The 15150-nt window shown below is 44.1% G+C and overlaps 1 protein-coding gene across 2 annotated transcripts in view; it reads left to right on the top strand.

Annotated features, from left to right (window-relative positions):
• SLC27A2 (solute carrier family 27 member 2) overlaps positions 1–10198 on the top strand; it is a 54190-nt gene extending 43992 nt beyond the window's left edge. For both annotated transcript variants that reach the window (NM_003645.4, NM_001159629.2), the window contains 4 exons: positions 793–991; positions 2758–2855; positions 7681–7811; positions 9733–10198. In NM_003645.4, coding sequence (NP_003636.2) covers positions 793–991; positions 2758–2855; positions 7681–7811; positions 9733–9909 — 605 coding nt within the window. In that variant the 3' untranslated portion in view covers positions 9910–10198. The remainder of the gene's footprint in view (positions 1–792; positions 992–2757; positions 2856–7680; positions 7812–9732) is intronic.

The raw sequence follows: 15150 nt of genomic DNA on the forward strand, positions 1-15150 counted from the left end.
AAGGGGGGTTTATTTAAGTACCCTCCAATATACAGGAATTCCAAAGGTGCTAATTTACCGCTGCATGTAACATAATTCTAGTTTTAAACATAGCTTAACAACTTCTTGCTTATGAGGTAATGTTTTGTGGGAAGGGATATGTAATTGTGGTTGCAAAACTATAGTTTTAGGTGGCCTTTACCTTTAAGCTTTAACAACTGTGCGTTTGTGTAAGTGTGCATAAATCATTATTCAGTAAAAAATTAGCAGTAAAAGAATTACAGGCCAGGTGTGGTGGCTCACGCCTGTAATCCCAACACTTTGGGAGGTTGAGGAAGGCTGATCATTTGAGATAAGGAGTTCGAGACCAGCCTGGCCAACATGGCAAAATCCTGTCCCTACTGAAAATACAAAAATTAGCTGGGCACGATGGCACACACCTGTAACCCCAGCTACTTGGGAGGCTGAGGCAGGAGAATCCCTTGACCATGGGAGGCAGAGGTTGCAGTGAGCCGAGACTGCACCACTGTACTCCAGCCTGGGCAACAGGGCAAGATTCCATCTCAGAAAAATAAAAATAAAAGTAAAATAATTAGGCCATATACAATAATGTACAGTATATGTGTGTGTGGTGTATGTATGTGTGTCTGTAATATATATGTACATATAATTCACAGGTATACATGCATGGAAAATGATACTTCCTACAGCCAGCTTGTTGCCAGCAGGTTGTATGGCATTAGTTTTAAGAGAAGGTTGATGTATAAATTTGACCTCTAGCACATAAAATAAGTTTACTTTCTTCTGTCTTAGGTGAAGTTGGACTTCTGGTTTGCAAAATCACACAACTTACACCATTTAATGGCTATGCTGGAGCAAAGGCTCAGACAGAGAAGAAAAAACTGAGAGATGTCTTTAAGAAAGGAGACCTCTATTTCAACAGTGGAGATCTCTTAATGGTTGACCATGAAAATTTCATCTATTTCCACGACAGAGTTGGAGATACATTCCGGTTGGTTTTTCTGAATCATTGAGCCAAAAACAAACACACGCACAGTTTGGCTTACTCCTAGTGGAATCGCATTCCACTTTGGTTATGGTGCATTTCCTTCTCTATCTTTGGCACATCAGGTCAAACTCCTGTGTTCCCAGAGAATGAGGAATGAAGTGCATGAAGTGTCACTCTGCAGTGCACGGTTAACTTGGCTGAGCAACACCAGATGAGAATAAGGCAGGAAACCTGTATCTGATTTCTGGAGACAAAAGTACATTTAACTCCTCTTGTTTCTCCTGCATTATTACTGGTCACTCTTAGGACAGCCAAGGATTTTCACCTTTCCAATCATGGAGGTGTTTAGATAAAATCAGATGCAAATTAATGTGGAGCTGATCTAGTTGAAGAGGAGGTGAGGGGTTCGGAGCCCCTTCCCCCAACCCCTTTCATCCCCAACCAGATGGTTTCCCACAGAACCCCCAGGTCAGCACAAGGAAGTTTGGAAGTCCTTCTAACAGACCATGGAATTAACTTCCAACCATAGCACAGTCCTCCAGCCTCATGACACAGCTTCCTTCCTGTGTAAACTCCCTGAGGGCAGGCCCTGTGTCTGCCTGTTCACCCCCAGCACCTACCATGGTGCCTGGTGTCATTTTTTGCATGAATGAATGAGGAAGGGATGGAAGTTGTCTAACTGCAGTAGAAAGACAGCAGGTGGAATGAGGAGAACCAGGCTCACCTCTCCCACTGAGCAGCAGTGGTATCAAGACAGATAACCATTCTGGACCTCAGTCCTTTTGCCCTTGAGATGTGGGTCACGATGATTCTCAGGGTCCTTCCATCTCTACTATTCCATGTCTTAAGATCCATATCACTTTATGCCATCTTCATGTTATTAAGATGATACTTCTGGGAGGGCTAAAGAATTTTTAATGGGCCAGGCGTGGTGGCTAACGCCTGTAATCCCAGCAGTTTGGGAGGCCGAGGCGGGTGGATCACCTGAGGTCAGGAGTTCCAGACCAGCCTGGCCAACAAGGTAAAATCCTGTCTCTACTAAAAGTACAAAAATTGCTGGACATAGTGGCACGCGCCTGTAGTCCCAGCTACTTGGGAGGCTGAGGCAAAAGAATCACTTGAACCTGGGAGACGGAGGTTGCAGTGAGCTGAGATTGCACCACTGCACTCCAGCCTAAGTGATAGAATGAGACTCTGCCTCAAAAAAAAAAAAAAAAAAAAAAAGAATTTTTAATGAAAACAAAATTTAACTCTTTATTAAGTGAAAAATAGCACCTGGTTGGGCCTTAACATTAGAATCTCCCTGTAACTAAAGTGTGATTTTTTTTTTCCTTTCTTGTTGCCGTGAGACCCTGAAATAAAATATGAAGTTCTATTAAAAAGAACTTCAGAAACTGAATTAAGTAGCAACTGAGTTAGTAAATGAGAAATTGAGAGACCTAAACAGCAGAAAATCGTTGAGATTTCTTTCTAATTTCCACTGCCTTTCTTAGCTAGGGCTGTATTTTAACATTAGAACATTATTCTGTGTATTGTGTTTCATGTGGCAACATTGAAATTCCATATTTTGTTATCTAGGTCTATACTTTTCCCTTTTATGCCTCAAACAAGATACCCCGGCCAGGACTAAGTTGGGGAGTTTGAGGGGCCAAGATGAGGAACACGAGATCAGGATCATGCAGAAATCTAAAGGAAACACCAGCTCTCCGACATTGCAACCTGGGCCAGAAACCACCAGTGACCTCTGCTAACTTTGTCCTTTCTTCCAGGTGGAAAGGGGAAAATGTGGCCACCACTGAAGTTGCTGATACAGTTGGACTGGTTGATTTTGTCCAAGAAGTAAATGTTTATGGAGTGCATGTGCCAGGTATATACAAGATATGATCTGTACCTAACCCATAGAGTAACTGAACATAATTTTGGCCTCAAGGCGAAGTTTGTCATTGCTTTCTCCCGCCATCCAGAGTTAAACAGTTCTTTCAGCTGCCAGGGAGTAAGGAGCTTATGTCTGGCTTATGTTCCACTATAAAAGCCAACTCAGTGCATCTGAACATGGCCTTCTCTTCATTTCAGCTCCCAGCCATTCTTGGGCTCTCAGGCAAACAAAGTCTCAAATATGGGAGCTCCATGCCACATTTGGCACACCTCGAGAAAAGTCGTGTCATGCTTAAGAGCTGGGAAATGATGTCCTAGCCTCTGAACTAGGAGGCAAAAAGAAGAGCCAGTGCAGTTGCTAGAAGAAAAAGCTGGGGAAAAGTGGATTTTGTACAGCCTCTTCTTTTTAAGATTTCTAAGCCCAGTTCACCACACTAAGTTTCAGAATCATCACACAAGAACGTTGTCACCGCAGCTTCATCTGCAGATCCACTTCTGCCAGCAGAGTCAGGAGGGCCAGTGTCTGACCTTGAATCCTGGCTTCAACATCTGCTGGCTGTTTGACTGCAGGCAAATCACTAAAATTAAGGATAATGCCAGCCCTGCAGTTAAGCTTGTCAAGAGAACAAATTCATTTTAATTACATCAACGCTAAGCATATATTTATCAAATATATATATAAGGGTTGTTGTGACAATAAATCACATTAATAATAGACATCAGAGAGGATTCCAGCCTCAAAATTACTGTCCAAATATAAGGCATTAGGGGTATTATTATTCCCCCACAACTCATATTTGGGATTCCCACCCATATTCAAAGTAGAAATCTAAAAGTCCCTTTTTCCCAAGCTCTGACACTTCTACATGGCCCTGTGCTTGTTATTTTTTAAAGAATATTCAAGGCCGAGCATGGTGGCTCACTCCTGTAATCCCAGCACTTTGGGAGGCCGAGACGGGCAGATCATGAGGTCAGGAGATCGAGAGTATACTGGCCAACATGGTGAAACTCCATCTCTACTAAAAATACAAAAATTAGCTGGGTGTGGTGGCACGTGCCTATAGTCCCAGCTACTCGGGAGGCTGAGGCAGGAGAATCGCTTGAACCAGGGAGTCGGAGGTTGCAGTGAGCCGAGATCGTGCCATTGCACTCCAGCCTGGGCAACAGAGCAAGACTCTGTCTCACCAAAAAAAAAAAAAAAAAAAATTAAGTCCGGACACTGTGGCTCACACCTGTAATCCCAGCACTTTGGGAGGCCAAGGCGGATGGATCACTTGAGGTCAGGAGCTTGAGACCAGCCTGGCCAACATGGCAAAACTTAGTCTCTACTAAAAATACAAACATTAGCCAGGGGTGGTGGCTCCCATCTGTAATCCCAGCTACTTGGGAGGCTGAGGCAGGAGAATCACTTGAACCCGGGAGATGGAGGCTGCAGTGAGCCAAGATCTCACCACTGCACTCCAGCCTGGGTGACAGAGTGAGGCTCCATCTCAAAAAAACAAAAAGAATATTCAAGAATATCTCTTGCTTGTTCCTCCCCAACTCAGGGACAATGACACGAGGGGAAATATGGCCACATCTTGATGTGAGAGGGGACAGAATGGAAGGGGGTGTGAATACTCCCATTGGAGAACTCCCCAGGCCTTATGCTGAGTTAACACAAGGGTCTAAGTTGTGGTTGTCAGCCATTGTGCCACCCTACGCTCTTGCAGACCCTTCCTCAAATGTTGTGTAAACATCTAAATGCTTGATTTTAAAAAGAAGAATCATACAAAAGAGTATGTGTGAGGTGAGAGAATCTAGAAGATGAAACAGAAGGATCTAGCCTAGTGTTCCTCAAAGTGGGTCCCCAGATCAGCAGTGTCAGCATCACCCAGGAGTCTGTTACAAGTGTAATTTCTCAGGCCCACCCCGAACTACCAAGTCAAAATCTCTGGGGTGGGGCCAGGAAACTGTGCTGGCACAAACACCCCAGAGATTCTTAAAAACATTGGAAGTCTGATTTAGGGGGTGATGAAAATGCACTAGAACTAGATCCTGGTAATGATAGTACAACATTGTAAGTGTGTAAAATACCACTGAATTGTACACTTTTTTTTTTTTTTTTTTTTGAGACGGAGTTTCGCTCTCGTTGCCCAGGCTGGAGTGCAATGGCGCGATCTCGGCTCACTGTAACCTCTGCCTCCCATGTTCAAGCGGCAATTCTCCTGCCTCAGCCTCCTGAGTAGCTGGGATTACAGGCATGCACGACCAGGCCCGGCTAATTTTGTATTTTTAGTAAAGATGGGGTTTCACCATGTTGGTCAGGCTGCTCTCGAACTCCTAACCTCCGGTGATCCACACCCCGACCTTGGCCTCCCAAAGTGCTGGGATTACAGGCATGAGCCACCACGCCTAGCAAATTGTACACTTTAAAAATGAGTTGGAATGATAAATTTTATGTTATGTGTTTATCACAATTTAAAAAAAAACACACACACTGAAGTCTGAGAAGCACTAAAGCCCAGTGGTTCCAAAAATTTGGCCAATCATCAGAACCATCTGGGAAACTTTTTAAAGCCTGGATCTAATGGACCAGAAGCTCTGGAGTATGGGACTCAGAATCTGCATGTCTTTTTTTTAATTCCCAAGTGAATCTAATGATCAGTGAGTTCTGGGAGCCACTGAAACAGAACAAAGGGAAGGAGATTGACAGTCTTACAGTGTTGGCAGACAGTCAGATAGGATGAGGAGCAGGTGTGTTCTGTGCTGCTCCAGTGATCAGAACTAAAACCAATGGATTAAAATGACCAGGGAGCCAGTTTTAGCCTGAGAACTCCCCTGTAACCAAAGGAACCATCAATAGAATGGGCTTGTCTCCCAGGATAGGAAATGCCCCCACCAACTAGGGCATGTAAAGAGAGGCTGGATGTCCACCTGGGATCCTGGGAGAACTCTTGCAGCAGTGAAAGATTAGAGATAAATTCTAAAGTCCCTCCCAACTTTCAGATTCTGTGATTCCCAGTGCCACAACTGCTGCTGTCTGGCCCCCCATCCACAGAGGCCAGTCCCATTCCAGACTAGAAATGCAGCAGTACTGTCTGAAGTAAGGCATCATTCCACTATGGGTGATTCTGCACAAGGCAATCACACACCTCAGCTTTGGAACAGGAGAGAATTTCCAGGTTTGGGCCTGGAGAGGAGTTCACTTTTTCTAGGTGTCACACCTGAACTGCCCAACTACTCTGTAGAACTTTCTGCAATGATGGAAATGTTCCATATCTGCACTGTCCAGTATGATAGCCAATAGCCACCATGTCACTATGGAACACTTGAAATGTGGCTAGTGCAACTAAGGAACTGAATTTTTCATAATATTTAATTATAATTTATTTTAGTTTTAATAGCCACAAATAACCAGTGGGTGTCATATTAGACAGTGCAGCTCTAGAGAACCCTTGGCCAAAATTGACCTTTACAATTAGCCCAGAGCTCCTATAGGCTGGAACCATTCCCCCTGAAGCTGAACTAGTCCCAAACCACCCTCCGAGAGTTGGGGCAGAGGCCTGAGACCTGACAGGCCCATTTGCCCGTAGGTCCAGCGTCGCTACTACCAGAGCAAGAAGCAAGGAGACGGTGAATGTGGAGGATTTCTGTTGCATGAGCCTTAATTCTAAAAGGAGCTTATTGGAGACACTTGAGATTTCTAAGACAGGTGCTAGGGACCCTAAACTAAGAGGATCTGGTGCCACTGCCTCTCTCCCTCAGACAAGAAGCAAACCAAATGAGGGGGCATCTTTTTTTCCTTTTGCTGTTTGCCTTCTTTAGAGCTATAGGTAAACACACAATCACCATAGGAGAGATTTCGAAAGCTGGGGCCCAGGTAACCAAGGGAGGCTCCTGTCTCCTCTCTGATTACAGCTGAGTAGTTTAGGGAAGTGGAACTGGACTCCCGCTGGGTCTGCTGGATCAGGTAGAAGATACATTAATACCTAATTACCACTGTCCTCACAAGAAGGCAGTGGTAATTGTTGGAAACTTCTCTGGGCTAAATTCCCTGATGTAGGATCTGTTCTCTCTGTGGAGAGCACATCCTCTTGGGACTAATGGGCCTTAATGGGAGGGCACAAAACAGCTCCTCCCTGTGCCTGCCTTCACCTCCTGTCCCACATCCTCTCCAAAATGCAGACAAGAAAAGCCATTAGAACCTTGATTAGATAAGTAGGTCTCCAAGGTGGTATTTGTGCCCAGAAGTGCAACAAACCTGACATTGCAACCTGAAGAACAACCCAAGCTCAGTAAGTCATGCATGGAGGTGGAGCAAGGACTTTCACTGGAGTCTAAAGTAACTTCCTGTAGCCACCAGTCCAACCTACTCCCTACTAAGATGTGTTTGTATAGGCTGCTAGAAAGAAGGATGATGGTTATAAGCACAGGATCTGGAGCCAGGCTGCCTGAATTCAATTCTGTACCCTGCCTAGTATTTGCTGTCTGACCTTGAATAAGTCTCTTAATGTCTTTAAGCCTCAGTTTCTTCATCTGTAAAATGGAAATAATATCTACATCTCTTCAGAAGGTTGTTGTGAGGATTAAGTGAGATCATCAATACAACACACTTAGTATAGGGCCTGGAATATAATAAAGATTCAACCAACTGTTATTATTGCTATTAGTATTAGTACAATCACTTTACAGTATCTTCATGTATTTTTAATAAAAATTCCAGCTATCCAAATGAAACCCATGCTATAAATGTTGTCTGAGCCCACAGTTCTTTGAACTAATAAAGCATCATAAATAGCCTTAACACTTCTAATTTTTTCTCACTTTATTTCTAGATCATGAGGGTCGCATTGGCATGGCCTCCATCAAAATGAAAGAAAACCATGAATTTGATGGAAAGAAACTCTTTCAGCACATTGCTGATTACCTACCTAGTTATGCAAGGCCCCGGTTTCTAAGAATACAGGTGAGATCTCTTATTATCCAGTTCAATGATCTGTCCTCTTGGAGATTCCTACCACTTAGGGAACAACTCGCCTTCTCCCAGGATGACTACATTTGCCAAGTTTTCACCGCACTTTCCAGGAAGCTCAGAAAAGTGTCATAGACCAATAAGGAAGTGGTAATATCAGGCTGGGTGCGGTGGCTCATGCCTGTAATCCCAGCACTTTGGGAGGCCGAGGTGGGAAGATTGCTTGAGCTCAGGAGTTTGAGACCAGCCTAGGCAACGTAGTGAGACTTCATGTCTACTAAAAATGAAAATTTTTAAAAAAGGCCAAACGCGGTGGCTCACGCCTATAATCCTAACACTTTGGGAGACAGAGGCAGGTGGATCACCTGAGGTCGGGGGTTCGAGATCAGCCTGGCTAACATGGTGAAACCCGGTCTCTACTAAATAGACAAAATTAGCTGGGCGTGGTAGTGCATGCCTGTAGCCCCAGCTACTCGGGAGGCTGGGACAGGAGAATCGCTTGAACCTAGGAGGAGGAGGTTGCAGTGAGCTGGGATCACGCCACTGCACTCCAGCCTGAGCAATGGAGTGAGACTCCATCTCCAAAAAAAAAAAAAAAAAAAAAATTAGCCAGGCATGGTGATGTGCACTTGTAGTCTCATCTACGTGGGAGGCTGAGGCAGGAGGATTAGTTGAGCCTGGCAAATCAAGGCTGCAGTGAGGTATGATTGCACCACTGTACTCCAGCCTGGGCATCAGAGCAAGGCCCAGTCTAAAAAAAAATATATCAGAAAACAGCTAGAAGAAATCCAATCCTAATCCCTTTCTCCTTACAATGACAGGCCAGTTCATTCAGCAAGAGACTTAGCACATAACTCACAAAGTCTGTTTGGTGAGTCCTGACAGATAGCGCAAATAGAAATGCTCTGACCCTGTTTGTTGTTTCCAGTTTTAAAGAACACAGAAATCCACAGAAGTTCTACACCTTTCTGTGGTGTGAAATTTAATTGGACATTAGCCAGCTGGAATTGCCTAAGACTTAACTATCACCGCTAGGAGGATTTTTTTTCTTCCTCCAACATTAACCCTTTGGTTGGTTTAATACTCTCACTTTTAGACTTTGAGCTCTGTGATTCTGTAGCTGAAGACTTGACAAAGGAGGTCTTAAGATTCCAGATATTGTGTGTATAGGATTATTCCTGTTGATGTTCATAGGGCACCAACATTTGCTTTGCAACCAGATGGTAAAGTGGCATGAAAATGAAATATCCTCAGATATTTTGATTAACACATAATTGAAGGAAAAATCAGTCTTCAATCTAATCTAATAGACAAGCAGACTGAGAAAACAGAGTTGTCTGTAAATGATCCCTCCTTCTAATCCCACCATGAATCAGGATATCCTAGCGGTACCTGAAGCCTTACCAAGAAATAGGCACCACCCCTCTGCTCAGAAATCTATGCACAGGTATCTCATCCTTGGCAGGTCCTCCCTCCCCACAGGTGATCCTAAAGCTTTAAGGGAATAAAAAATACCTCACAAAGGGCTCCCTAATGGAGATCCTGCAAACAGAATGTATGGGTATCATATAAAACTTTCACTTCGCTAGAAAATGTAAAGAGTGGATGTTACTTGCCCCTACCACAAAAATGATATCTATATGAAGTAATCCATTTGCTAACTAGCCAAACTATTCCACGATGTATATGTACTTCAGCACATCATATTGTACATGAGAAAAACACACAATGTTATCTGTCCATTTAAAAATAAATTAAAATGGAAAACTTTATTTTAACTTTCACTTCCCAGCTCTCACATGAGCCAGGGATGCTAATGATTTGCTAGATCCCCATGCCCCACCCCTACCCCTTGCTCTGCATCCTAATCTATTGCAAAATGCAACCAAAATGTGGATTATTTGATGTTTTTCAGGACACCATTGAGATCACTGGAACTTTTAAACACCGCAAAATGACCCTGGTGGAGGAGGGCTTTAACCCTGCTGTCATCAAAGATGCCTTGTATTTCTTGGATGACACAGCAAAAATGTATGTGCCTATGACTGAGGACATCTATAATGCCATAAGTGCTAAAACCCTGAAACTCTGAATATTCCCAGGAGGATAACTCAACATTTCCAGAAAGAAACTGAATGGACAGCCACTTGATATAATCCAACTTTAATTTGATTGAAGATTGTGAGGAAATTTTGTAGGAAATTTGCATACCCGTAAAGGGAGACTTTTTTAAATAACAGTTGAGTCTTTGCAAGTAAAAAGATTTAGAGATTATTATTTTTCAGTGTGCACCTACTGTTTGTATTTGCAAACTGAGCTTGTTGGAGGGAAGGCATTATTTTTTAAAATACTTAGTAAATTAAATGAACACCAACATGTGAGATGGCACTGTCTCTGTGTTCTTTCCTCACTTTACTCTAAATACAAAGCCTGTGTCAATTACTCCAAAGCCTGAAGTCCTCACTGGTAACTTTTCATAGGTGTCCCATTCGTAAGAGTAAAGACGTTCTAGGTAAAAATGGCTGGGAACGGGGGGTGGGGTGAGGGATGGTAGGGTGAGGCGGCTAGATCAGCAGTGGCCAACACAATGGAAATCTACTCCAATGTGAGGAGGCCAACTTTCCCTACCCGGAGGCATCCTGTCCACTGTGTATAGGTAGCATTATCCAACAGGTAATAATGCCATCTATAGTCCTTACAGGAGCCTAATTCTATGGCATCAGAGTTCTGTACACAAAAGGTGTTCAGGCCGGGCTCAGTGGCTCACGCCTATAATTCTAGCACTTTGGGAGGCCGAGGCAGGTGGGTCACGAGATCAGGAGTTCAAGACCAGCCTAGCCAAGATGGTGAAACCCCATCTCTACTAAAAAAATACAAAATTAGCCAGGCGCAGTGGCAGGCGCCTGTAATCCCAGCCACTCGGGAGGCCGAGGCAGGACAATCGCTTGAACCCGGGCGGCAGAGGTTGCAGTGAGCCAAGATCACATCACTGCACTCTAGCCTGGATGACAGAGTGAGATGCCGTCTTAAAAAAACAAACAAACAAACAAACAAAGGTGTTCAATACATTTTAGCTACTTTAGGGGTTGCAAACTCAAGTGTCTTCAGAATTCACATAGGTAATGTGGATGAGAAAAGCAGGTCACAAATGAATGTGGTAAACTTGGGGACGGCCACTAAGCTTCAGTCAGCTAAATACAGGCCAAGTATTGCTGGAATTTTTTAATTATTCAGAAAACAGAAATCCATCAGAACTTATTAACATTAGTGTCACTAAAGTTGATCTACAACCACCCCCCCCGCCCACATACACACTCTCACAACTACGAAGTTTGACTGGCTTTTTAAAAAGAAAACAAATCCAGATATGTATGTGAATCTCCCAATTTTTGAAATCTGAAGTCTCAAAATTTTTAAAACTTCTATGCATCCCAAACAAAATGTGTGTCTGGGCCAGATAAATCCCAGCTGTCCAGTTAGCACCCGAGTCCCACTTACATGTGCCCCTACTCCTCAGATGGCAACTGGTTTCACTCCAAAGCCAGTCTCCTGCCCACGGACCCTTTTCAAAGACCGGAGGACCTTTAGGGTGGCACGGGAGGCTTTGGGAAATTCTGAGGAGCTCTTTCACATAAGCCCTTTCTCCTTAGACCCAGCTGCCTCCCTTCCTGGGTTTAATTGCTTTACCTCTGCATGTATGAGCTGCAACAGAATTCCAGGAGCAGGTCATGGGTGAAAGCATTCAAGACGACATGTACCTTACCTAGAGCTTGTCCTAGGCATGGGAGCATCATGGTCATTGAGTTCACATCCAGAAAGCATGGCCCAAGTTTACCACAGCCTCTCTAGAAGTTTCTGTCATGGAGTTTCCTTCCCTAGAGGACATCTTCAGATGACCAGGAGCTGGTAATGTGTGCTAATTCTCCCCCAGTTTAGTCCCCATAAAGCCCCAGGCAAACACTTCTAGGACTTCTCAATGATACATGATGAGAGGTGTTGCCACCCCCAGCCCCAACAGAGTACTAGAAATATTTTTTTTAACTCTCTCCACTCTTTTGGGTGACTTTAAGAAGAATCATGACCAAAATCCTTGCCCCCACTCATTATACCTAACAATAAACATTTCCTGAGTGCTTAATATACACTGAGGACTTGAGGAGGGTCTAAAGAAAACTCTAGATAGGCTGCACCTTTGTGAATTTTGCCAGTAATTAGAATGATTATTGTTTGTGGGTCAGCACTTGCGAATTTTTGCAAAATTCTCTCTGCCTTTGAGTTACAGGAGAATGTGAACCTAAGTAGTGGGAGATAGGACAGCCTTTGAGTATCACATTGTGCAATTGTGTTACCTGGAATCTTGTCAAAGGAGAAGGTTGTCAGCAGGGGTCATGTTAGAGCAGTGGCTGCATTCTGTGTCACAAGGGGTATCTTTTTGGGTAAGAGGTCAGCATTTACACTGTTGGCCAGAATATTCGTGTTATATTAACCAGAACCTGGTTGCCCTGATCTCATTTGACCCATGTTTTAGACCTTCCAGTCAGAAACTCAGAGACCCAGGTCCTCGCATCCACACCCTGCCCAGCTCTGCCTCCCAGCCTGATGGTTTCCTCAGTCTTCCACTTCCCCACACCTCCCTGAATCTGGCCAGGTAACACAGCTCCATTGAGATAAATAGAGACACCCCCACAATGTCCTCAGCCCCTAGGTTTGCATGTATGTAAACAATTTTAAGCCATCACCTGTGAGAGATAATACCTTAAAGACTGATTTTTCTCTTTGAAAAGGGTAAGAAATTGTGCCCAAGAAATATCTGCACAAGTCATTCTCATTTGAAAATATAAGTGAATTTAAAAAAATAAGCTGATATCCATGTAAATTATCCAACAGGGCTTTGATTTCAAATGTATTGTTTGGAAACCTGTAATCAGTGCATAGATGGGATGCTATAGGCACCAAAATAATTTGGGGATAAAAGTAGGAAATGTCAGCCTCTGAAATGGATGCTAATGAGAATCAGTATTAAAATGGGTAAAGTTAGCCAGGCATGGTGGGGTGTGCCTATAATCCCAGCTACTCGGGAGACTGAGGCAGGAGGATCACTTGAGCCCAGGAGTTTGAGTCCAGCCTGGGCAACATGGTGAGATCGCATCTCCAAAAAAAAAAAAAAAAAGATAGGTTTAACTAACTGCAGTGACTCAACCTAAGAGATAATTTGCTAAATGTGTCGTTCATTCATACATCCACCCTACAAGCACTTAGTGGGTGCCTGCTACGCACCAAGAAATGTTCTCAGCACAAGAGTGCTGAGTCCCATCCCCCCAAACTAGAATTGGAGTTTGCATTTCTAACAAATGCCCAGGTGAGGCTAATGCTGTGGGACGGGGGCCACATTTGGGGAATCACTGACATCCTGAGTTATACAACATGTGCACTTACTTAGTGGGTAACTCAGTTCCTCAGAGCCAGGTCATCCCTTACTAACTGAGGCTCAGCTCTTAGCTCAAGTGGCTCAAAGTGCAGTCCCCAGGAAAGGCCCAGCATCAAGAAGCACCTTGTCATCACACAAGCCTGCAATTGCTCTTGGAAATTTACATCAATTAGAGCTTATATCTGCTTGCTAGATACATACACATATATTGTGATTTGCTATAGCAAACGAAAAGCAATCCTAGAGAGTAGCTAGTCAAACCTCTTTACTTGATAAATGAAAAAACTGAGGCCTGAGGTTAAGTGACATGACTGAAGTCACACAGCTAATTGGCATCACTAAGCTCTCACCTAGTACTTGCAGGAAGAGAGTACCATCATAGACCAGTAGTTCTGAGTGTGGTCCCTGAGCCAGCAGCATCAGCAGCACCTGGGAACTTGCTGGACCAACAAATTCTTGGACCCTGAAAAATTCTAGACCTACTGAATCAGAAACACAGAGGGTAGGCCCAGACATCTGTGTTTTGACAAGCCAAAGCCCTCCTGGTGTTACTGATGTGGACTCAGTTTGACAATCACTGGCTTAAAGCAGTGCACAAGCTTTACTGTGCATGAGAATCACTTGGGGACACCAGTGCTTTGAGTGCTTGGAGTGCAGTGAGTGCTTGGGGCACACACACTGCTTTGAGTAGCATGTCAATCTAAAGCAGTGGTTCCCAGATGTCCCTGCACATTAGAATCATCTGGGGAGCCGTCAAAAATCCCAAAGCCCAGGCCCATGCCATACCAATTAGATCAAGGATTCTGGGAGTGAGAACCAAGCATCAGTATTTTTTTAAGGACCTCCAAGTGATTCCAGTATGCAGCAAAGCTCAGGGATCACTAGTAGAGAACAAGTGGCTAGTTTTCAGCTTTTGGCCAGGTGCAGTGGCTCACACCTATAATCACAGCATTTTGGGAAGCCAAGACAGGAGATGCTCTTGAGCACAGGAGTTCACAATCAGCCTAGGCAACACAGAGAGACCCTGTCTCTACAAAAAAATTTTTAAAATTAGCCAGGCCAGGCATGGTGGCTCACGCCTGTAATCCCAACACTTTGGGAGGCCAAGGCAGGAGGATCACCTGAGCCCAGGAGTTCCAGACCAGCCTGGGCAACACAGGGAGACCCTGTCTCTGTAAAAAGTTATAAAAATTAGCCAGGCATAGTGGTGTGCACTCATAGTCCCAGCTACTCGTGGGACTGAGGTGGAAAGACAGCTTGAGCCTCAGAGGCTGAGGCTGCAGTGAACTGTGTTCACACCACTGCACTCACAGAATGAGACCCCATCTCAAAAATAAATAGCTACTTGGGAGGCTGAAGCAGGAGGATTGCTCAAGCCCAGGAAGTTGAGGCTGCAGTAAGACATGATTGTGCCTCTGCACTCCAGCCTGGGAAAGAGAGAAAGCACTAGTCTCAAAAAAAAAAAAAAAAAAAAAAAAAAAAAAAAAAAAAAAAAAGCTTTAAACTCTTAACAAAGATTCTTTTCTCGACCAAACTCTAGCTAAGCTCCTCCGAGCCCCCTTCTCAACTAGGCCTCAACCTTTGCCTATAAAGACTTGAACAAACACTAACACAGTTTCTCACAGCTCAAGGCCACATCCCTAAGTTGATCCTAGCTCACCTTAAAGTGCCTGCTTAAGAAAACTCAAAGCTGCCGAAAGAATTAACTGTTTGTTCCAGCGAACCCCTGAACACAGGGCCCTGACTCCCAGTCTCTGTGGGAGGGTAAGAGTCTTACTTCAAAAAGCACCAGTTAGCAAACCCAGAGGGGTTTCACATCAACCACTTTCCGCTTTTTGTAATTTTTCACATTCCTGACTCTTCTAAGTCTAGGCTGGCCTTCTCCCTATTCTCCCATTCACGCTG

The sequence above is a fragment of the Homo sapiens genome, chromosome 15, assembly GCF_000001405.40.
Source record: "Homo sapiens chromosome 15, GRCh38.p14 Primary Assembly".
NCBI lineage: Eukaryota > Metazoa > Chordata > Mammalia > Primates > Hominidae > Homo > Homo sapiens.